At 36.9% G+C, this 24,664-nt stretch overlaps 1 long non-coding RNA gene across 1 annotated transcript in view, besides 1 other annotated feature; it reads left to right on the top strand.

The window, feature by feature from the left end:
• The window catches only part of LOC105377516 (uncharacterized), a 30,448-nt gene extending 6,293 nt beyond the window's left edge, over window positions 1–24,155 (top strand). Inside the window, exons 3-5 of the long non-coding RNA XR_939412.3 lie at window positions 22,902–22,971; window positions 23,291–23,350; window positions 24,077–24,155. This is a non-coding gene — a long non-coding RNA (uncharacterized LOC105377516). The remainder of the gene's footprint in view (window positions 1–22,901; window positions 22,972–23,290; window positions 23,351–24,076) is intronic.
• Window positions 13,999–14,618: an enhancer, noted in NCBI's record as "NANOG hESC enhancer chr4:163636456-163637075 (GRCh37/hg19 assembly coordinates)". NCBI's record gives its function as "activates a minimal SCP1, AML or CMV promoter by ChIP-STARR-seq in naive H9 embryonic stem cells {active_cell/tissue: H9 hESC(naive)}" and the evidence as "EXISTENCE:reporter gene assay evidence [ECO:0000049][PMID:30033119]".
• Window positions 24,156–24,664: the final 509 nt, after the last annotated feature.

Raw genomic sequence — 24,664 nt, 5'->3', positions numbered from 1 at the left:
CAAGATCATATAACTATAAGCATCAGGAGATTATTATAATTTTTGGCAAATTAGGAATAAAAGGAGATTTCTTTAATCTGATAATGTGAATCTATCAAAAACCTACAGCAAGCATAAATCTTAATATGAAACATTAGAAGTGGTCCTGTCAAAATCAGGAACCAATTTACAGAAAATGTTGAGTTTGAAGGTTTGAAGGTCTTAGCTATGCTGGTAATGAAAATAAACAGATGAAAATAATAAGTATTTAAAGGGAAGAAACTCAATTGTCATTATTAGCAGTTATACTTATCTACAAAAAAACTTCAAATTACATAGAAAAATATTTAAATTAATAATAGAGTTTATAATGCTATTTAGATATTCAGATCAAACTCTAAAAATATGATTACTACAATTAACTTTTAACTGTAGGGCTTATAGCTTAGTGCAATGATCCAGAAAGGAAAGTGAAGTTTACCAGTTTTTCTCAATCCACATGATATTGAAGTTGAATTTAGTTCACACTAAATGTAGCTCTCCCCCTGTAGTCTTTAAAATAAGAGTTAACACTGGCTGCACGTTGGAATCACCTGGAGAGCTTTCAAAATTTTCTATACACTGGTAACATCCCCAGCAGGGTGCGGTGGCTCATGCCTGTAATCCTAGCATATTGAGAAACTGAGGTGGGATCCCAGCTACTCGGGAGGCTGAGGCAGGGGAATCGCTTGAGCCTGGGAGGCAAACGTTGCAGTGAGCAAAGATGGTGCCACTGCACTCCAGCCTGGGCAACAGAGCGAGACCCGGTTCTCCAAAATTCATATGCTGAAATCTTAACCCCAAGGTGAAGTGTTTGGAAGGAGATGCCTTTGGAAGGTGATTTGGTCATGAGGATGGAATCCTCATGGATGGGATTAGTGCCCTTATGTAAAGGCCTAAGAGAGCTTGTTTGTCCTTACCAACTTGAGAAGATATGGTAAGAGACAGCTGCCTCACCAGATGGAATCTTCTGGCTCCTTCATCTTGGACCTCTCAGCCTCTAGTACTGTGAGCAATAAGTTTCTGTCGGTCATAACCCACCCAGTTTGTGTTATTTTGTTATAACAGCCCAAATGAACTGAGATACCCCTCCTCTCAACCCAGGATTCCTGCCTAGGGATCTTGGCTTATAATTCTCTTCTTCATATTGTTTTCCAAAAATTACATACGTAATGAATAATTCAATTTACCTGAGTTGTACTGGCTTCAGCTTTGTTGTTTGCATTTTCACCAGATTGTTGTGGTTTATTTGATCCTTAATGCAGAATTTCCATTAAACCACTGATGATTGGGATCAGCTAGGGCTATTTATTAAAAATACAAATTTATAGACCATTTACCAGACACTCTAAAGATTGGAGGTGTCTGGGGAGGTGCATTTTAAACAAAAGTCCGAACTTATTCTTATAATCAAGTAATTTAAAGAAACGCTGTGTAAATGAAACAATTAGCTCTATTTAAGTTTTATATTTTACCATCTTATATAATTTATTGATAAAAGACCAATACAAAACTTTTCTTTTCTATGGCCAGGAAACATATTTACATTATTTCATAATGTATGTAAGAAGAAAGGGTCCATGCTTGTTTTTGCGATGTTCTCCAAGGAGAGGACAGTCTTAGGCTCATTATAAGCTGCTTCACCTGGACAACAAGAGGCATGACATCACCATCGTGACCTTGGCTAAACAACAGCTTTAAATCATGGGTTTCATAAAGATTATTATATTCAAGCAAAATGCTCAGGAAATAGTTGATTTAAATGGCCTCTTTTTTAAACAATATTCTAATATGAATTATAACCTTAGCAACAGGAAGAATCAGAAAACTGTGACCTACTTTAAACATTTTATTTTAAGAGAGCCTAAAGTTGGCTGGCTTCAACTACAAAAGAAAAAAACAACCAGCCAACTGCTGTTAGAGCAAGTGATTATCCAGACTCTGGGGATACAGATTTCAATTACATTGAACTGTTCTCAATCTGCACAGTTAGAACAATATTATAAAATTCATTAGTACATAAGCAAGTGAATGTGAGTTCACATTTCAAAGCATTTGAGAATGCTTCATTTTAATTGAATTTTGTTATAGCTTGTATGCTAGAAAATAATGTCTACATGAATGTTTTAGCTAACATGTATATCTCATAATGTGCAAAAATGATACAGGAGTTAAGAAGGAATTACTGAGGCAGGTAGCAAGGGCATGGGAGTCATCGGTAAGACTTTTCCTTTTAATGAAAAGCAGCCCCAAATCATTTTCTAACAAAGAGCAGCCTACAAGCAGGGAGCTTGCATGGCGAATGCCAGTAGGAACTAAGGACTAGACATTTTCAAACTGGCGGCTCCATCTTCCCTTCTCTGCCAGCCACGTGTATTGTAAGGAGCAGATAAGATGGCTCAGATCATCTGGAAAGCCTATTTGCGTAAGAACATTAGGGTGGGGCGACCAGCCTTTCCCATGCACTACTTAACCATCATATCTGATCAAACCAATCTGTCAGCCCTATGTAAATGAGACACCACCCCCTCAAACTGGACTATAAAACTCAGCGCACTGGCAACCAGCCAGTCCTTTCCAGTCAGAGACTCCTTCCTCTATAGAGGGAGCTGTTTCTCTTTCTCTTCTACCAAGTAAACCTCTGCTCCAGCGGGCGTGGTGGCTCACACCTGTAATCCCAACACTTGGGGAGGCCCAGGTGGGGGGGATCATGAGGTCAAGAGATTGAGACCATCTTGGCCAACATGATGAAACCCTGTCTCTACTAAAAATACAAAAAAAAAAAAAAAAAAAAAAAAAAAAGCTGGGCGTGGTGGGTGTGCCTGTAGTCCCAGTTACTTGGGAGGCTGAGGAAGGAGAATCACTTTAACCGGGGAGGTGGCGGTTGCAGTGACCTGAGATCGCGCCACTCCATTCCAGCCTGAGTGACAGAGTGAGACTCCATCTCAAACACACATACACACACACACACACACACACACACACCCCTCTGCTCCTAAACTCCTTAAGTCCTAAATTTTCATGGTGTATGACGACAAACTCAGGCTTTATACTCCAGACAACATAGGTGCTTCAAAAACACCTCACAACAATTTTCAGAACACCAAATACACTTGAACTAAATAAGTTTCAATTATAAGTAATTGTAGCCGGTTAGTCATACCTATAGGTCTTGAATAGTACAACGTCTCTGGTCTCTTCAAAATAGCTTATATATCCCAAACAGATTTTGAACAGGGTGAAAGTATTATCCAAGATGTTCAGAATTAGTATTGCTTTTTCAGAGATAAATGTCTATTTTACTAGGTATTGTGAGAACTATCTAATCTGATAAAATGGGTCATTAGGATACAATCTGAAACAAGTGTAATTCATTCATGAAACGCTTAATAAATTAAACTGGATTAAATTAGAGATTATAATAGATTCATTCTTTAATCTATTATCATAGATTCAGTTTATTATATCTGGATTAAATGTGTTGAGTAAGAAGAAATTTAGGTGAAATGATTTTTCCTCTAAGTAAAATATATTGTGAAGATTCGGGAAATGTTTAGACAATTCTGTTAATGCAAAAATCTCCTTCGAAAAATAGTTATAAATTAAGAGTCAAAGAAATGTTTTGCCAAACTTTTAAACAAGTGTTTTTAATATTGGAAAAGAACTTAACATATAAAAGCAAATGGGCTGGGCGTGGTGGCTCATTCCTATAATCCCAGCACTTTGGGAAGCTGAGGCGGGTGGATCACATAAGGTCAGGAGTTTGATACCAGCCTGGCCAACATGGTGAAACCCCGTCTCTACTAAAAAATACAAAAATTGGCCGGGCGCGGTGGCTCACGCCTGTAATCCCAGCACTTTGGGAGGCCGAGGCGGGCGGATCACGAGGTCAGGAGATCGAGACCATCCCAGCTAAAACGGTGAAACCCCGTCTCTACTAAAAATACAAAAAATTAGCCGGGCGTAGTGGCGGGCGCCTGTAGTCCCAGCTACTTGGGAGGCTGAGGCAGGAGAATGGCGTGAACCCGGGAGGCGCAGCTTGCAGTGAGCCGAGATCCCGCCACTGCACTCCAGCCTGGGCGACAGAGCGAGACTCCGTCTCAAAAAAAAAAAAAAAAAAAAAAAAAATCCAAAAATTAGGCGGGCATGATGGTGCACGCCTGTAATCCCAGCTACTCAAGAGGCCGAAGCAGCAGAATTGCTTGAACCTGGGAGGTGGAGGTTGCAGTAGGCCAAGATCGTGCCATTGCACTCCAGCCTGAGGAGGCACAAAGAGACTGTCAAAAAATAAAAAATAAGAAAAAGCAAATGAACCTTGAAGTCAAGAGCAGCAGCCTTGCTTCCAGTTCTTACATAGCATTATCTTTTTTGCTTTTTATCTTTGATGGCAATGCTTTTAAGTTGGAAAAGTCAGCCATTTCTATGAGTCTGATTTTTTTAAAATTTCTTTAAGGTCAATTAGATTGTTTTCAGAAAAAAATGAGCTATCACTATTTGCATCTTGATAAGTAGTGAATATATATGTGAAAGGCTGGGGCTGAAGTTTTTAAAAAATTATCTGTAATTTGACAACTAAAGAACACAAAGATTCTCAATGACTAATTGCCCCAAATTTACATCGGTTTACTTTGTACAGAGTATTTCATTCGTTCGCATTATAAACTTGTTGTCCTAATTATAAGAAAAATATATATTATTTGTATGCGCATATGTCAATGCTACTTTTAGGGAAAACCTATGGCAGCACCATTTTAAAAACTATAACACATGTCAAAGGCCCTTTTCTTAACAAAATGTATTTTGAAATTAGGTACTTTTAAGGTACCTTCACCTTTTAGAATGAGGGCCATAATTTATTATAACACAGGAGTACATAATGCTTTATTTGCTGATATTTTACTATGTATCTCATGCTACAGTTTTAAACACATAAAAGATAATTTTATATCTAAAATAATGATGTCAAGGAAAAGTAATACTTTTATGTAATAGTTATTGGTTTTTTCTCATGAGAATGAAATAAAATAGGCAGTCAAGTAAAGGCTAGTTGCATTGGTCTAATTCACAATCAAAGACTACTTAGCTAATTTCTGGTTTCCAAGTGTTTGTCATAACAAGAATATACATATGTTTGTCATATATGTTTGTCATAAGAAGAACCTTGTGAAACTCTGGCTATTCAAACCTGTTGCTGCAAGTAAAGAGAAAAAAAGAATGAAAACTCACACTCTACTACTGATATCTTAGCATTCACCATTTTGGGACTAAGAATGGCATTCATGCCTAGAACGAAAGGATGAATTGCTAGGAAAAACAGCAGGCATAAGGAATACTGTTGTGTTCCAGAATAGAAATCTGTGTATCAGGGTAAACAGATGGGGGCTGGGCTCCAATGGAAGGAAACAATGTGAGAAAGAAAGTATAGAAAAATGAGAAGTAATGACAGTGTAATTAATGTGATGATAGATGCCAAAAACAAAGTGGTTAAGACAAAATGTACATTTATTTAAAACGAAGATAAAGCATAATCAATAATTTATTCAATTTTTATGAGGAATAAATAACAATTTTAATTTTAAAGGAACAAATTCAGAATACAACTTCCCTGGATATATCATCTGAAGCTATGTTATTGAGATTAATATGGATTACTAAGTAATTTTGACATCATAGGCTTATCAGTTTAGTTGGACAACAAATCTTATATTTGAGAATAGATTTGCTCTGCTTCATAGATATTCTATTAATGCTATTATTCTATTAATATGGTGGACCATGATTATTCATCCTTAAAGTTTAAGAAAGAGACAAGATAACAGAAAAGATTGAAGTGCTTGGCACAAGAAGAACAGGCTCTGAAAACCTTGATACTACAATTTAATCAGTAAGCATCAAGCAATTGCCTCTGTGTACTTTATATCAGGAACAGGATTAAGTGTTGGAATTTAAATGCGATGATTTATTTGCATATATGTAGTTGAGTAAATTTTTATGGGTGTCGTGAACTAGTGCAATGATCTTTTAATTGATTGGCAAATCATCAGATTTCACTCCCCAAATTCTATTCTTTTAGTTTATGCGTGACAGAGACTGTTTCTTTCATCAGGTACATTTATTGATGTGCTTTTGCAATCATTTTTATTCCTAAATTTTGGAATTCTTATTATGTTCTAACAATTAAACTAAACATCTTAACTTACATTGTTCTTTAAAATGAAAATTTAAGTTGTTGCATTCAAGAAGCTATCATACTATATGAAGACCATTAAAAGAAGAGTAAATGATTGAGAATGAAAAAACAAAATAAACATAAGAATCTTATCATAATGAAATTTTTAAGTAAGGAAATGAGATGAATCCCAAGGGACAAATATTTTCCTTAATTTTAAAAAAGTCTTTAGTGCTATATTTAAAGCAGAATAAACAACTAAGAACAAGTCAATACACTGAATTAGAACAAGGTGTAAGATTTTTTAAAAGGCCAACTCCTATCTTGTTTCCATCTTCTAAATATAAGAGAATTCATCTTAACATTTGGAAATACAGTACAAAGAATTCAAAAGGAGAATGCCTCTCTGAACTGTGTTGAGTCATTAGGAGGAACACAGGTGTTTTTAAAGCTAACTCACCTTGTAGACTTGCTTAATTTACATTACATGCTACTGGAATAATGTACAAACATTACTCAGTCACTGTTTAATACCCTTGAGAATTAATGAATAGAAAAAGAGGCTCTAAACATAGGAAGTTTGACTAGCTTGATTTTAAGGTTGGATTTTCAGAAGTATAGAGAAGTGAACTTGACATAAACTCATAAAATGTAGTGACATTTGCTGTTTTTTTCCTTTTTTAATTGTCAGATTCTTATAGTTTGGATTATGCAAAGTATTCTCCTTATGCACTCTCTTCACAATATTCTTCTCATATTCTAGGCACATCACAATATTTTTATTTCTTCAAACCAAATATGTGTTCATTCACATTGCCATCCCTGCTTTATAAAGTATTTATTGAGGAATAACAGGTATAGAACAAAATGTACAAATAAGTCGTATAGCTTGATCAATTTTTAAACCTGTACATGGTCATGTAAGTATAATAGAATAATAAACCATGTTCTCATCACCCTAGAAGCATGCCCTTCAGTTTCTGTTCTCCCAAAAGAGTCACCATTAGCATGACTTTTGCCACCAAAGTGTAGTTTCAGCTATTTCTAAACTTTTTACAATATAATCTCTTTCGTATCTAGCATTTATTATTCAACATTTTTGTTGCAAGTTTCGTCAATATTGATGCGGGAAGTTGGAGTTTTAATAATTTCCTTGCTCTATCACATTCTGATCTGTGAATATATTAGTTTATATATCCATTTTTGGTGGACATCTGGGAAGTTAAATATTTAGTACTATTAGTAGTTGTTCTGCTATAAACATTCTAATATGACGTGTTTATCTGTTGAAAGTGTATATGCATTTCAGTTGGCTATACATCTGCAAATGGAATTACTGGGTAATAAAGTATGCATGTTATACTTTATTAGATATGGCTAGATAGATGATCAAAGTAATTGTACTCTGACAGTATATGAGAGTTTAAATAGCTCAAATTTTTGCCCACACTTTGGTTTATTCCATAATTATTTAAATTAACTATTTTTGGAGGAGTTTACATAGTGGTATTTCACTGTCATTTTGTTTTTCATATCTAAAGTCTAAGGAAGGTGAGCAACTTTTCAATTGTTTAGTGTCCATTTGAATATGCTTTATTGCAGACATCCTGTGTAATTCTTTTGTCCGTTATTCTAATGATTTTCTTCCTTTTCCTTTGGATTCACATGAGTTCTTTATACATTTTTCATTTAACCCATAGAGGAATTTTGGAGACAGTTTTCTTAGTAACGATTTTTCCTATTCATGAGCATAGTATAATCCCTTCATGTATCTAGACTTACGGTTTCTCAACAGTGTTTTGCAGTTTTCAGTACAGATTTCTCAAATATTTTCACTCAATATATCCCAACATATTTGATGTTTTCAGTGCTATTGAAATTCTAGTTTTAAATTTCCTATGTATTTGTTGTAGTTACATAGAAATTCTCCTGTTTTCATATATTTACACTTTGCCAACCTTTTATTTAGATTTTGCTAAATTTACTTAGTAATTCTAATGGTTTTTCCACAGATTCTTTTTGATTTTCTAAAGGCACAATAATATCCTCTGCAAATAATGACAATTTTATTACTTCTTTACCCATCCTTAAGTCTTTTATTTTCATCTGTAGGCCTGTGGCATATATTAAAAACTCCAATACTATGTTGAATATAATTGGTAAAAGGAATATCTTTGGCTCATTCAATATTTCATAATTTGGCTCATTCAGTATTTCATAATTAAGCCTGATGTTTAATTTTTTGTGGATTTTACCATAGGATTTTTTGTGGCCATTGTTTTAGTTTTTAATTTGCTAAAAGATTTTTCCTCAAATTAACGGTGATTGAATTTTATCAAAGGCTTTTCTGGATCCCTAGATATGATCATTTAATTTTTCTCCATTTATTTTTCTTAATGGTCTAATTTAGATTGATTTTTAACAGCTTTATTGAGATACAGTTCACATACTATACATATAAACAGTTATTTGGTTTTTAATATTAATATGTTCACAGTTGTGTAATCATCATCACCATCCATTTTACAACACTTCTCATTTTAAAAGAAACCCTGTACTCATTAGCAGCCACTTTCCAGCCTGTCTCTGTTCTGAAACCAGAACCTCCAAGCCTTAGATCTAGATAGCCATTAGAATAATTTGTCTCTATAGATTTCACTATTTTGGATATTTTATATAAATAGAATAATACAACATATCTTCTTTGTGAATGGCTTCTTTTACTTAGCATAGTGTTTTTAAGGTTTAACAATGTTGTTGCGTGTATTGATACTTTATTCATTTTTAATGCTGAATAATATTCCATTTTATGGATATAGCACACTTTTTAATCCATCAGCAGATGGACATGTGGATGGTTTCCACTTGTTGTCTATTATGAACATTTGTGTACTAGTCTTTATGAGGATGTGTGTTTTCATTTCATTGGAGCATATATCTAGGAATTGCTTGGTCATATGGTAACAGTATGTTTAACATTTTGGGAGCTGCCAGGGCAATCGCATCATGTTAAATTCCCACAACGGATGAAGTTTTCACACTCTCCACATACTTGTCAGCACTTAATCTTATCTGTCATTTTAAATATAGCCATCCTAGAGGGTGAGAAATGCTATCATTGTGGTTTTGATTTGTATTTTCCTAATGATTAATGGTGCTGGGTTTCTTTTCAGGTGCTTTTTTTAATATCTTCTTTTATTTTTATATCTTCTTTTAAGACATTTCTTTTGAGATCATTTACCCATTTTAAAATTTGTTTTTTTTTGTTGTTGTTGGGTTGTAAGAGGTCATTATGTACTCTTGGTGCAATCCTTTATTAGGTAAGTGATTTGAGAATATTTTCTCTCATTCAGTGGGATATATTTTTACATTCTTGATATTGTGCTTTGACCAACAAAAGTTTTTAGTTTGATAAAATCTAATTAGTTTCTTTTTGTTACTTGTGCTTCTGTGTGATGTGTAAGAAGACTTTGCCTAACCCAAGCTTATGAAAATATACACTTAGCATTTGGTCTATACTGAATAATATTCCATTTGTACTTGTATTTTTTTGCTTAAATATATTCTTAATTTCTTTATTTTTGATATGATTGTAAGTGGAATTTTATTAGTTCCATTTTCATATTGTTCATTGCTAGTACACAGAAATACAACTGATATATGTATATTAATATTGTATCCTGCAACTTTGCTGTATTCATTTATTAGCTCAAATAGATTTGGTCTTTATGGCTTTTTATATGTGATATTATGTCTTATGCTAAGAGATATAAATTTATTTATGAATTAATATTTTTTATTTATTTTTGCCAAATTTCCCTGAGTAGAACATCCATACAATGTTGGCTAGAAGAGTCTTATTTTGTTCATTATCTAAGTGGAACAGTTTTTGTTCTTTTCCCATTTAGTCTGATGTTAGCTATGGGTTTTCTATAAATGCCCTTTATCAGGTTGAAGAAGTTTTCTTCTATTTGCATTTAAAGTGATTTTATCATAAAATGGTATGGGATTTTGTCAAATGCTGTTACTGCATCTAAAGCAATGATCATGTATATTATTTTCTTTATTCTATCAATATGGTATACTGTATGGATCGACTTTTCTCACTTTGAACTAGCATTGCGTCCTTGAGATAAATCCTACTTGGTCATGATGATGTATTGCTGGGCTGAACTGGCTGTTACATTTTGAAGATTTTTTCACCTATATTCATAAAGGATATTGGTCTGTAGTTTTCTTGTGATGTCTTGTTTTGGCTTTGATGTCAGAGTAATACTGATCTTACAGAATAAGGTAGGAAGTGCTTTCCTCTCTTCCATTGATGTGGAGTGATTGAAACAAATTGGTGGTAATTCTTTAAAATGTGGGTAGAATTCACCAATGAAGCCATCTGGTTCTGGAATTTTCTTTATTAGAAATTTTTTTATTAACTCAATCTGTACTCTTATTAGGTCTGTTAAGATTTCTATTTTTTCTTCTCTTGTCAGTATGTAAGTTTCTAGAAATAATATTTTCTATTTCATTTGGGTTATCCTGTTTACTAGCATGCATTTATTCATAGTATTTTCTAAAAGTACTTTATTTCTGTAAAATTAATAATGACATCCCATGTTTCAATACTGATTTCAGTCATTTGCATCTTTTTTTTCTTGCTCAGTCTATCTAAATGTTTGAAAATTTTATCAATCATTTCAGAGAACAAACCTTTGGTTTTATGATTTTTTTCCTCTATTGATTTTCTATCCTCTATTTCATTTATTTCCATCCTAATTTTTATTAATTCCTTCTTTATTTTGAATTTTGTTTGCTCTTCTCTTTCTAGTTTCTTAAGATGGAAGCTTAGTATAATAATTAGAGGCACTTATTCTTTTTAATGTATGCATTTATAGGTGTAAATACCTCTAAGCACTGCTTTTGCTGCATTTCATGTTTTGGTATGTTGTGTTTTCATTTTAGTCTTCTCAAAGTTTTTTATAACTTTCCTTTTGATTAATTCTCTGGCCAACTGGTTATTTAGGGGTGTGTTTGCTTAATTTTTACATGTGTGTGAATTTTTCAGACTTCCTTCTTTCATTGATTTTTAATACCATTTTTGTGATTAGAGAACATATCCTGTATAATTTTAGTTCTTATAAATTCTCTGAGACACATTTTATGGCTTAACATATGTCTGTCCTGAAGAATGTTCCATGTGTGTTTGAGAAGAATGTATATTCTGCTGTTCATTGGTGGAGTGTTCTATAAATATGTCTAGCTGGTTTATAGTGTAGCTCAATTCTTATACTCCATTGTTAATCTATCTGGTTTTCCTATCTATTATTGAAAGCAGGTATTGAAGTCTCCAAATATTACTGTTTAATTGTCTTTTTCTACCTTATGTCAATTTTTGCTCTTTATATTTTAGGCTCTGTTGTTAAGTGCATGTATGGTTATAATTGTTATATCTTGTTAGCAGATTAGTCTTTTAAAATTACAAAATATCCTTCTTTGTCTTAAAGTTTATTTTGTCTGACATTGATATAACTACTCTGGTTGTCTTTTTGTTATTTTTGCAAAAATAATTCTTTTGTATAACAAAAATATTGTTTTCACCTTTTCAGAGGACTAGCATATGATTAAATTATGGTTTTTAAAAAATCCATTCTGCCAATCTCTGTTTTTCAATTAGAGAGTTTACTTTGTGTGTGAAAACAACTCAAAGAATTATGGTTATTGTCATCTAGTCACAAGCTCATTTTATTAAATAATAGGTGAACTAAACAACTAATATATATACTACCTAAAATTCCGCAAATATATACACAATTATATATTTCAATCTATATAATAAATATATCTTTTCTATTAATTTGTTGATTTATATTTATTTGTTCAAAGTCTTCTCAGTTCTGCTTTAGACATCAGGAATATAAAAATAAATAAGAGAGGTCAGGGACTTACCCTACCCTCAGAAAGTTTATACTCTAGTAGTGGACATAATAAAAAGTTATAAATTAATAAAATAGTTCAAATCTTAAAGTCTTATAAAGATAATTAACAGAGTGATGTGCTAGAACGCTTCTAGAATTTAGGGAATAGCTACTTTAGCCAAGTTTGTCAGAGAAGACTTTTCTGAGAAGTTGATACTTGAACTGAGGCTGAAGAAAGTAGCTAGGTGACAATCTGGGGAAAGAACATCCAATTAAATGAAATGTTAAAGCTCAGACGTTGTGCCAGGAGAATAGGTTTCTGGCCTAAAGGTGAGAAATAAGGCCATTCTAGCTGGAGTATAGTGTTGGAAAAAAGAGATAAAGATGAAGGTGAATACAAAACAAAAAGATGTGTACAAATTATACAAATAAATTATGAATAACAATAATTACTCTAAGAAATGTGCTTTCATAATTGATAACAGCTGTTGTCAAAGTACTGTGTTAAGAATGTTGAAGCTGATTCAAGGCTTTCCAGAGAACAGTACTGTGGTCATGTGGAAATATTTGTGCACATCTTGTGTGGAGAAGTGATTATCCATAAAGATTTAAATATATTTGTATGTGTCATATAAATCGTACATAAAATTTTATATGTATAAATATATATATATATATATATATCTTATATTCTGTTTATCTACCTATCCATCTCAGGTACATAGTAAATTACATTAGACATTTTGCAGTAATATTTGTCACAGTGAAGTATATATTAGGTCAGTACCTAATAAATGGTATTATTTACTTTGGGTGGCTGCATTATGATATGTCTATGATAAAAACTTTGAAATCAGATAAAGCTAAGTCTGAAGCCTGGATCTATCAATTAAAATCTGAATGCTGGAACTAGCATATTGTGTGTTTTGAAACTACTTTTGTTTGAAAATGGTCACTGCTGGTGTTTTAAACTTACGCTTGATAACTCTCATTAGTATAAAAGTTTTTCATCAGTGAAGTGATCTATAAATATGTGCTGTGGACTGAAAATTTTGAAAACAGAATAAATAAGCAACCTCTTTTGCTCTTCTAAATGATTCATTTACTATGAATGGTTTTAAATGCACTGCAGGGAAAGTACCCGATAACTTTTATATTAGGAGGCAAAAGAACACAGTTCATGAAAATTTTGCCTCTTGAAAGAGGTAAAGTTGTTTTTTAAGCTACTCTTTAAATAACTGTAGTTTTTAAAAATCTTTTTATCTTGAGAGTACATTTTAGAGGACATGCCAAAATTTATTTACTTTTGGAAATTTATTTTTAAATTCGACATTGATGGGGCATATGTGCAGGTTTGTTACCTGGGTATATTGAGTAATGCTGAATGTATGTACACTGTCTTTTAATCATCCTGTTGTCAAATAGCGAACATAGTTTTCAATAAGTCAGTTTTCAGACCTTGCTCCCCTGTCTCCTTACCCCCACCATTTGAAACCCCCAATGTCTATTGGTCCTATGTTTGGGTCCATGTGTACCCAATGTACAGCTCCTACTTGTAAGTGAGAACATAGGGTATTTGGTTTTCTGTTTCTGTGCTTATTCACTTAGGATAATGACCTCCAGCTGCATCCATATTCCTGCAAAGGACATGATTTCACTCTTTTGTGTGGCTGTGTAGTATTCCATGGTGTGTGGCTCTGTGGCTGTGTGGTATTCCATCATGTTTATGTACCACATTTTCTTTATCCAATCCACCATTGATGATCACCTGAGTTAATGTCACATCTTTGCTATTGTGAATAGTGCTACAATAAAAATATATGACTGCTGGTGACTTTTTGGTAGAATAATTCATTTTCTTTTGGGTTGTAAACCAAAAGTATCTGAAACAGATACTTTTATCTATCAGTCAATTTAGAAAGTTTACATTTGCCAAGGTTAGGGACGTGCCCATGACACAGCCTCAGAATGTCCTGATGACATGTGCCCAAGGTGATTAGAGTACAGCTTGGTTTTATACATTTTAGGGAGATGTGAGACATCAATCAGTACATGTAAGATGTACATTGGTTTGGTCCAGAAAGGCAGGACAACTTGCAGTGGGGACCTCCAGGTCATAGGTAGGTTTAAAAATTTTCTGGTTGTCAATTGGTTCAAAGACTTATTATCAACAGAAAGGAATACCTGGGTTGCAACAAGGGGTTGTGGAGACCAAGGTTTTATCATGTAGATGAAGTCTCCAGGAAGCAGGCTTCCGAGAGAATAGATTGTAAATGTTTCTTATCAGACTTAAAGACCTGTTCTATCAATAATTCCAAAAGGGAGGTGGATATAATGACGCATGTCTGGCTCCTCCTTCCCATCATGGCTTGAACTAGTTTTTCAGTTAACTTTGAATGCCCTTGGCCAGGCGGATGGGTCTATTCAGATGGTTGGGGGGCCTTAGAATTTTATTTTTGGTTTACACGGCATATACGCAGTAATAGGATTGCTGGGTCAAAGAGTAATTCTACTTTTAGTTCTTTGAGAAATCTCCAAATTTCTTTCCACAGGGGCTGAATTAATTTGTATTTCCACCAACAATATATAAGTGTTCCCTTCTCTCTACAATCTTGCCTGCATCTGTTATTTGTTGATTTTTTAATAATAGATGCTCTGACTGGTGTGAGATGGTGTCTCACTGTGGTTTTGATTTGCATTTCTCTGGTGATTAGTGATGTTAAACATTTTTTCACAATTGTTGGCTCCTTGTATGTCTTCTTTTGAGAAGTGTCTGTTCATGACCTGTGCTCACTTTTTAATGAGGTTATTTGTTATTTTCTTGTTGATTTGTTTTTTATAGATTCAAGATATTAGTCCTTTATCTGATGTGTAGGTTGCCATGTCAAATTTAGCAAGGGACTTTTACCCTTTATTTTTAAAATATATAAAATTTTATAAACTGCGTATTTTCTGATTTTAATGAAAGGGTAACCATCTTTTCACAAGAGTTATATCATATATATAGACTTAAATTTCTTTTTAACTCTTGAAATGTACTGTCAATGGCATAAAGGATTAATGGATAATTGATTACTTTTATGCACTTCCGTGTGAAGAGACCACCAAACAGGCTTTGTGTGAGCAACATGGCTGTTTATTTCACCTGGGTGCAGGCGGGTTGAGTCCAAAAAGAGAGTCAGCAAAGGGAGATAAGGGTGGGGCCGTTTTATAGGATTTGGGTAGGTAAAGGAAAAAGGGGGGTTGTTCTCTGGCAGGCAGGAGTGGGGATCACAAGTTACTCAGTGGGGGAGCTTTTGAGCCAGGATGAGCCAGGAGAAGGAATTTCACAAGACAATGTCATCAGTTAAGGCAGGAACCGGCCATCTGGATGTGTACGTGCAGATCACAGGGGATATGATAGCTTAGCTTGGGCTCAGAGGCCTGACATTCTTGTCTTCTTATATTAATAAGAAAAATAAAACGAAGTAGTGGTAAAGTGCTGGGACGGTGAAAATTTTTGGGGGGATGGTATGGAGAGATAATGGGCGATGTTTCTCAGGGCTGCTTCGAGCGGGATTAGGGGCGGTGTGGGAACCTAGAGTGGGAGACATTAAGCTGAAGGAAGATTTTATGGTAAGGGGTGATATTGTGGGACTGTTAGAAGAAACATTTGTCATTTAGAATTATTGGTGATAGCCTGGATACGGTTTTGTATGAATTGAAAAACTAAAAGGAATAAGAGAAGGAGAAAAACAGGTATTAAAGGTCTAAGAATTGGGAGGACCTAGGACATCTAATTAGAGTGCTTAAGGAAATTCAGCATAGTCCTGCCAGCAAAGATTATTTATTTACTTCAAGAGTTAAGAGTGGCAGTTTGGGGATAGCACCAGGAGATATCAGCTGTGATGGCTTGGAGAAACAGTGTAAACCGGCAGTGTAAACAAGAGCAGGGCATGTGTGAGTAGTTGAGAACGGTGAATAGGAGTATGACTAGACAGAATATAGTAGGGATGATAGGTTTTTTTGGGGCACAGTTTAAGTTGGTCTGGCGTCTGGAATGAGACTGGGGCCTAATAAAAAGGAGCATCTATACAGGAGCTCAAATGGGCTGTACCCTGTAGCATTCTGAGGACAACTCTGACTTCTGAGAAGGGAAAGTGGTAAGAGTATTGTCCAGTCCTTTTTAAGTTGGTGGCTGAGCTTGGTGAGGTGTGTTTTTAAAAGACCTTTAGTCCGTTCTACTTTTCCTGAAGATGGAAGACCATAAGGGATATAAAGGTTTCACTGAATACTAAGAGCCTGAAAAACTGCTTGGCTGATTTGACTAATAAAGGCTGGTCTGTTATCAGACTGTGTAGAGGTGGGTAGGCTAAACTGAGGAATTATGTCTGACAGAAGGGAAGAAATGACTGCGGTGGCCTTCTCAGACCCCGTAGGAAAGGCCTGTACCTATCCAGTGAAAGTGTCTACGTAGACTAAGAGGTATTTTAGTTATCTGACTCGGGGCATGTTGAGTAAAGCTAATTTGCCAGTCCTGGGTGGGGGCAAATCCTTGAGCTTGATGTGTAGGGAAGGGAGGGGGCCTGAATAATCCCTGAGGAGTAGTAGAATAGCAGATGGAACACTGAGAAGTTATTTCCTTGAGGATAGATTTCCGCGATGGAAAGGAAATAAGAGGTTCTAAGAGGCGGGCTACTGGCTTGTACTATAGCATAGCCTGCCTTTGCTGGTGTGTGGCGATTAGGCCTGGTGGAACCGCCATCAATAAATCAAGCGTGATCAGAGTGAGGAACAAGAAAGAAGGAAATATGGGGAAATGGGGTGAATGTCAGGTGGATCAGAGAGATACAGTCATGGGGGTCAGGTGTGGTATCAGGAATAATGTGGGAGGCTGGATTGAAGTCTGGGCCAGGAACAATGGTAATTGTGGGACTTAAGAAAGAGTGAGTACAGCTGAAGGAGCTGGGGAGCAGAAAGTATATGCGTCAGGTATGAGGAAGAAAATAGATTTTGGAAGTTATGAGAAATGTAGGGAGTGAGTTGAGCATAGTTTGTGATTTTTAGGGCCTCTAAAAGTATTAAAGCAGCAGCAGCCACTGCACGCAGACATGAGGGCTAGGCTAAAACAGTAAGGTCAAGTTGTTTGCACAGAAAGGCTACAGGGTGCGGTCCTGGCTCTTGTGTAAGAATTCTGATCGCACTAACCATGCCTAGGAAGGAAAGGAGTTATTGTTTTGTAAGGGATTGAGGCTTGGGAGATTAACCGGACACGATCATCAGGGAAAGCACGTGTGTGTTTATGAGAATTATGCCGAGACAGGTAACAGATGAGGATGAAATTTGGGCTTGACTGAAGTAATGGGGGCTGTCTGTGAAGCCTTGCAACAGTACAGCCCAGGTAATTTGCTGAGCCTAATGGGTGTTGGGGTCAGTCTAAGTGAAAGCAAAGAGAGGCTGGGACGAGGGGTGCAGGGGAATAGTGAAAAAAGCATCTTTAAGATCAAGAATGGAATAGTGAGTTGTGGAGGAAGGTATTGAGGATGAAAGAGTGTACGGGTTGGGCACCACAGGGTGGATAGGCAAAACAATTTGGTAGATAAGGCGCAGATCCTGAACTAATCTGTAAGACTTATCCGGTTTTTGGACAGGTAAAATGGGGGAATTGTAAGGAGAGTTTACAGGTTTTAGAAGCCCATGCTGTAGCAGGTGAGTGATAACAGGCTTTAATCCTTTTAAAGCGTGCTGTGGGATGGGATATTGGCGTTGAGCAGGGTAAGGGTGATTAGGTTTTAATGGGATGGTAATGGGCATGTGATCGGTTGCCAGGGAAGGAGTAGAGATGTCCTATACTTGAGGGTTAAGGTGGGGGGATACGAGAAGAAGATGCGAAGGAGGCTTTGGGTTGGGGAGAAGGGCAGCAATGAGATGCGGCTGTAGTCCAGGAATAGTCAGGGAAGCAGATAATTTGGTTAAAATATCTCGGCCTAATAAGGCAACTGGGCAGGTGGGGATAACTAAAAAAGAGTGCATAAAAGAGTATTGTCTAAACTGGCACCAGAGTTGCAGAGTTTTAAGAGGTTTATAAGCCTGGCGGTCAATACCCACAACAGTTATGGAGGCAAGGGAAACAGGCCCTTGAAAAGAAGGTAATATGGAGTGGGTAGCCTCCGTATTGATTAAGAAGGGGACGGACTTACCCTCCACTGTGAGAGTTACCCAAAGCTCGGCGTCCGTGATGGTCTAGGGGACTTCCGAGGCAATCGGGCAGCATCAGTCTTCAGCCGCTAAGCCAAGAAGATCTGGGAAGGAGTCAGAGAGCCTTGGGCCAGAGTTCCAGGGGCTCTGGGAGTGGCTGCCAGGTGAGTTGGACAGTCCAATTTCCAGTGGGGTCCCACACAGATGGGACATGGCTTAGGAGGAATCCTGGGCTGCAGGCATTCCTTGGCCTGGTGGCCAGATTTCTGGCACTTGTGGCAAGCTCCTGGGGAGGAGGTTCTGGAGGAACGCCTGGCTGCTGCGGTTCAGGCATTTAGGAGTTCTTGCATGCTGGAGATGTGGCTGGGGTTTGTCTCACAGTGGAGGCAAGGAATTGCAACTTTTTTCTATTATTGTACACCTTGAAGGTGAGGTTAATTAAATCCTGTCATGGGGTTTGAGGGCTGGAATTTAATTTTTGGAGTTTTATTTAATGTTGGGAGCAGATTGGGTAATAAAATGTATTTTGAGAATAAGATGGCCTTTTGACCTTTTAGGGTCTAGGGCTGTCAAGTGTCTCAGGGTTGCTGCCAAACGAGCCATGAACTGGGCTGAATTTTTATATTTGATGAAAAAGAGCCTAAACGCTATCTGATTTGGGATAAAGAAAAAGGAGCATTAACCTTGACTATGCCTTTGGCTCCAGCCACCTTTTTAAGAGTAAATTGCTGGGCAGGTGGGGGAGGGCTAGTCACAGAAGGAAACTGCAAGCCGGATCAGGTGTGAGGAGGGGAGGTGATAAAAGGATTATAGGGTGGAGGAGCGGAGGCTGAGGAAGAATTGGGACCTAGCTCGGCCTGGCGAGGAGCAGCCTGGGGGGGAGGGGAGAGATCAGATGGGTCTGTAGAAAAGGAAGATTAGAAAGACTCAGCGACGCTTGGGGTTGGGACTGAGGGGAGAGGTGGGAGGGAAAGAAGGAAGATTTGGGATGAGTTGCACTGGGCACAGAGACTAGGAAGGGACTGATGTGTAAAAGAATGCCTGGACGTCAGGCACCTCAGACCATTTGCCTATTTTACAACAAGAATTATTTAGATCTTGTAGGATGGAAAAATTGAAAGTGCCATTTTCCGGCTATTTGGAACTACTGTCGAGTTTGTATTGGGGTCAAGCAGCATTGCAGAAGAAAATAAGATGCTTAGATTTTAGGTCAGGTGAGAGTTGAAGAGGTTTTAAGTTCTTAAGAACACAGGCTAAGGGAGAAGAAGGAGGAATGGAGGGTGGAAGGTTGCCCATAGTGAAGGAAGCAAGCCCAGAGAAAAGTGAGAGTAGAGACACGGAGGGAAGGGGTTCGGGGGTTCTTACCCTCCAGAAAAGCGGGAAAGGGGTCAGGGCACAGAGATACGAGGTCGGGGCACAGAAATAAGGGATTGGGGCGCAGAGATACAAGGTTGAGGTAGTTGCCCCTCCCCCACAAAACGGGACTTGCCGCTCAGGGTTAAGGAGAAGGGGTTGGGGGTTTCTTCCCCCCCAGAAAGGTGGAGAAGGGGTAGAGACATAGAGAGAAGGGGTTGGGGTACTTGCCCCTTCCCCAGGAAAGTGGGACTTGCCGCTAAGGGTGAAGGACCAAGGCAGGCGTCCCTGCATGGTCTGACACCTCTGAAACCTGGGTGAATAATCAGAGAGGCGTCCCTGCAATGATTAAACACCAAGGGAAGGCTGCCTTCCCTAGTCTGTGACTGGTGCCGGAGTTTTGGGTCCACGGATAAAACGTGTCTCCTTTGTCTCTACCAGAAAATGAAAGGAATTGAAATTAAGAGAAGGGAGAGATTGAAGTGTGACACCAAGATTGAAAGGAGAAAGAGGTTGAGGGATAGTGAGGGAGGTTGCAGAAGAGAGTAAAAAGAGGCCGCTTACTGGATTTGAAATTGGTGAGATGTTTCTTGGGCTGGTGGGTCTGAGGACCTGAGGTTGTAGGCGGATCTTTCTCATGGAGCAAAGAGCAGGAGGACAGGGGATTGATCTCCCAAGGGAGGTCCCCCGATCCAAGTCACGGCACCAAATTTCATGTGCGTCCATGTGAAGAGACCACCAAACAGGCTTTGTGTGAGCAACATGGCTGTTTATTTCACCTGGGTGCAGGCGGGCCAAGTCCAAAAAGAGAGTCAGCAAAGGAAGATAAGGGTGGGGCCGTTTTATAGGATTTGGGTAGGTAAAGGAAAAAGGGGGGTTGTTCTCTGGCAGGCAGGAGTGGGGATCACAAGTTACTCAGTTGGGGAGCTTTTGAGCCAGGATGAGCCAGGAGAAGGAATTTCACAAGACAATGTCATCAGTTAAGGCAGAAACAGGCCATTTTCACTTCTTTTGTGGTGTAATGTCATCAGTTAAGGCAGGAACCGTCCATCTGGATGTGTACGTGCAGGTCACAGGGGATATGATGGCTTAGCTTGGGCTCAGAGGCCTGACAATTACCATTTGAAAATAAGTGAATTGAGAAAGCATAACAGTTGTCAGAATTGATTGTTTTTTATAAATCCTTTGTCATGGCAATCAATACAATGGAGAAGAAGAGAAGTGAGAAATTTCAAGTATGTCTTTCCATTGCTATATATAAATTATTAAATATTTTGCAGATGGAAATGGTAGGTTTCTTTTTCACCATAGTTTCTCTAAGAAGCAAGTTGTCTTAATCTTTTTTCTTCTAAGTAAAATTTGCAAAGTTCACTAAATGTAGGAGTTTTCAGAGATTGCTGTGTGGGCTTATTATAACTATCTGCAATTTCAAGCTTGTACATGATTTTTGGAAAGTTTGATTTATCTCTACCTTATTAATTATGTGCTATTTTATAATATAAATATCATTTGCTTCAAATTGGTCAATGTGTCCTTAATTGCTCCTGAAATTAAGCCTGTGAAGAAATGTATACCCAAGAATCACAAATTTGTAAGATCCTAAAAGAATAATTAACACATGCTAATCTAGTTAGTATCTCTGAAGAAGAAAGAAAATTTCAGTTTATTAAAATATCACACTATTTCTCTTCAGTATTATAGGATTCTTGACATAGAGAAATCCTAACTTAGGGGATTGTAAAATCCTATCTATTAGCAAATAAGTTAGTCCAAGGAGATTGTAAATGTTGATGGGCTATGTTACCAACTGGTCTTAGCGTCCTATGGAACTCTTTTTTTCTGAAGAAAAGGCATTTTCGAGGTATCAGAACATCCTTTCTCTACTCCCAATTAAATGCCTCTTTCTTTAAGGAGATCTTGCCCAGGAAAATATCACTGATGAAGTTAAATATCTTGACATCAAAAAATATCTTGGAAACAAATGAAAAGAGACAATTGTATTTTTCTCCTCTTATATTAGGAAGGAATAGTAATAATTTCTATGGGCACAACCATGTCTATTCTTTTAAAGGATTTCTTAAAACTGTATGACTCAGACTACTCTTCAGACACATGAAAATGAGAAAAAAAGTCTTCATGTTTATAAACCTCCAAGTACTGCAATGGAAACTGAGAGTAGTGACTTTGTACCATTCAGTATAAACTAGCACAAACACATTTGAATTCTTAGATCTAATTTTCTAAACACTGTTTTCCTAAATAAGACAAAGCATAAATTGGTCACTGTTTCTACAAGTGGGGCTTCTAAGTGGAAGAAAATTGGGGAAAATAAATCCCTGCTTCTGATTCAGTCTTGAGGGAAACAGAATGAATAGAAAGTCTAGCCTCGATACGAGAAAGAGTACAAGGGGTGGGCTTACTGTGGGCAGCACTGTGAATTGGCATAGACATTGGGTCTGCTATGCCTGGGATATCTTTTGTGAACATAAGACTTTGAGTACCAACCAGATATCTTTTATTTTCTCTGTATTGGAAAATCTATGGAAACTCTTAAGGTTCACTGTAAGAAACAGAAAAAAAAAAAAAAAAAACAAATAACAGTGGCTTTAAAGTTTTTTCTTTTCTTTTTTTTTTTTTTTTTTTTTTTTGAGATGGAGTCTCTCTTTGTCACCAGGCTGGAGTGCAGTGGCACAATCTCGGCTCACTGCATCCTCTGCCTCCTGGGTTCAAGTGATTCTCCTGCCTCAGCCTCCCAAGTAGCTGGGACAACAGGCGCATGCCCAGCTAATTTTGTATTTTTAGTAGAGACGGGGTTTCACCATGTTGGCAAGGATGGTCTCGATCTCCTGACCTCGTGGTCCACCCGCCTCGGCCTCCCAAAGTGTTGGGATTACAGGCGTGAGCCACCGCATCCAGCCTAAAATGTTTTTTCTAATAAAATGGAATCTAAGCAAACAACTAAGGTCGACATTATTTGTCTCAATTGTCAAGGGCTGAAGATGCTCTATTGTATTGCTCCATCATCCCCTTACCTTACCCTTTCATATCCTGCGCTGTGGCATTTTCAAATTAATGCCAACTTAATTTCAACAATATACCAAAACTTTGCTCCATTCTCTCTAACTCCTTCATGTTATTATCACAAATTATGCCTGTATAACTTTTGTGCCTGGCAACATAGATTTATAATTATAGCTTTATGCAGTTTTCTTTTAAATAAGAGAAGAAAAAGTGAAATATTGAAAATATATTTATATCCTGTTTGTGGCTTTTAGGACTGGGAAAACTCTGAGATCTAATAAAGACAAGCCTTTTGCACAGCTTTACCAAGAAACCAAGAGACATGTAAGATCATAATTATTTGTGAATTAGGTCCATTCTGCTCCCTCCAGTACTAGGAATGTAGACTGTTATTTTCATTACTGCCACTAAGCTAGGAAGCAGGAAATGAAAGTAGAGTAAGTTAAAACTGCCATAAAACTTGCTTTTTGTTATTACTGAGATTCTGCCATTTTTCTCGCATAAATGCTTCCCAGGTTGCTGAAAACTTCTGGTTAATTTCCAGAGTTCAAAAAAAGTTTGTTCTGACAATATTTGCCAGTTTTTTTCACTGCTTTTATTTATGGGCAAATATTCAGAGGTCTTTACTATATCATTTTTGCAGATGTCACCCAGCCATGTCATGTTAATGTAGCAACCAAGAAAGAAGAAGAGGCAAAAAAGGGTATGGTTTCTTCTAAGAACATTTCCAACACATTACACACAATACTTTGTCTTCTATATCATTAAACAAAATTTATACACGCCCCATCTAGCTACAAAGCAGGCTGGAGAAACATTTATTCATAGGGGCCAAATATCCTGTTAAAAATTAGGGTCCTGTTATTAGGCAACCATATGATAATGGTTATTATGGCAGAAAAAAGGCAGCTGCATTATTTTTTTAAATACAACCCACTTCCTCTTCCCTAAAAGAGCCATCCTAATTCTATTTTTATAACCAACCTCATAATTCTACCCAGCCACCTTATCCAGCCGAATGCTAAAGATAACTGTGTGCTAAGCTTTCCTGTCTATCCAGCTCAAGTGTAGCTTTTTACTGTGTAGCAATGTAAAAAAAATCAGAAAATATGGATAAAAAGGAAATTCACTAATGATTTATTATATCCATAATCAAACACCACTTGGCAGGAATTGCACTGATTACCAGACTTCTCAGAGGAGTGTTTCTTATTTAGGCTAACTGAAAGACCCTGGTTCTCCACCTGTCTTTGCATATTTTCCTTCATAGAATTAATGTTCAAAAAAGTTTAAAAAGAGAGAGAGAAAGAGAAATAAAAAGAAAAAAAGGACAAAAACTGCCAAATAGAGGCAGAAAAAATTAAATTATGTTTTTCATCTCCTTTCCTTATCACAGTAACGTTAGTTATTATGTTATCTTCCCTCCTAGGTACTGCATGTGATATCAGGATTAACAGTTTTTACCTCTGAAAAACAGGGCACTAGTTTTTCACCCTTCAATATCTGAGTTCCTAAAATCCACTTCTATTGCGATCTGGGAAAGAAATACATAGCACAACTCTTCTGGCTCCAGAATAAAATTATTTCTGCTGCCATTTGCACCAGCATGATTCATGGCCTATATCTACCTCTTGACATAAACAACACTAAAAATAAGACACTAAGCCCCCTGCTTCAGCTGCCATGGGGGAAAACATATCCACTGCCATACTTGTCATCAGAAATAGTAGTCTCTAATTCAGGGGGTTTAATTTTGCCTTCCCAAGTCTCCTGTGGATATGTCTGCTAAGTAAAAAACTAAGTCAACATGTAAAACCATACCTGTAAGTTTATCTGGAAAAGGAAGTATCTGTCCTCCAGACTTTAGCGTGTATTAAAGATTGCTGTACAGGGTTGAAATAGCATTCTGTGACTCTATTTTTAACATCTGCACCAAATCCCAAGGCAGTCAAGTCATGGTACAATAAAGGACACTGCATCCACTGACAGCTACAGCTATAGTGCAAGCAGTGGAGGC

The sequence above is a fragment of the Homo sapiens genome, chromosome 4 (assembly GCF_000001405.40).
Source record: "Homo sapiens chromosome 4, GRCh38.p14 Primary Assembly".
NCBI classification, from domain to species: domain Eukaryota; kingdom Metazoa; phylum Chordata; class Mammalia; order Primates; family Hominidae; genus Homo; species Homo sapiens.
This window is presented reverse-complemented; position numbering and strand designations above follow the sequence as displayed.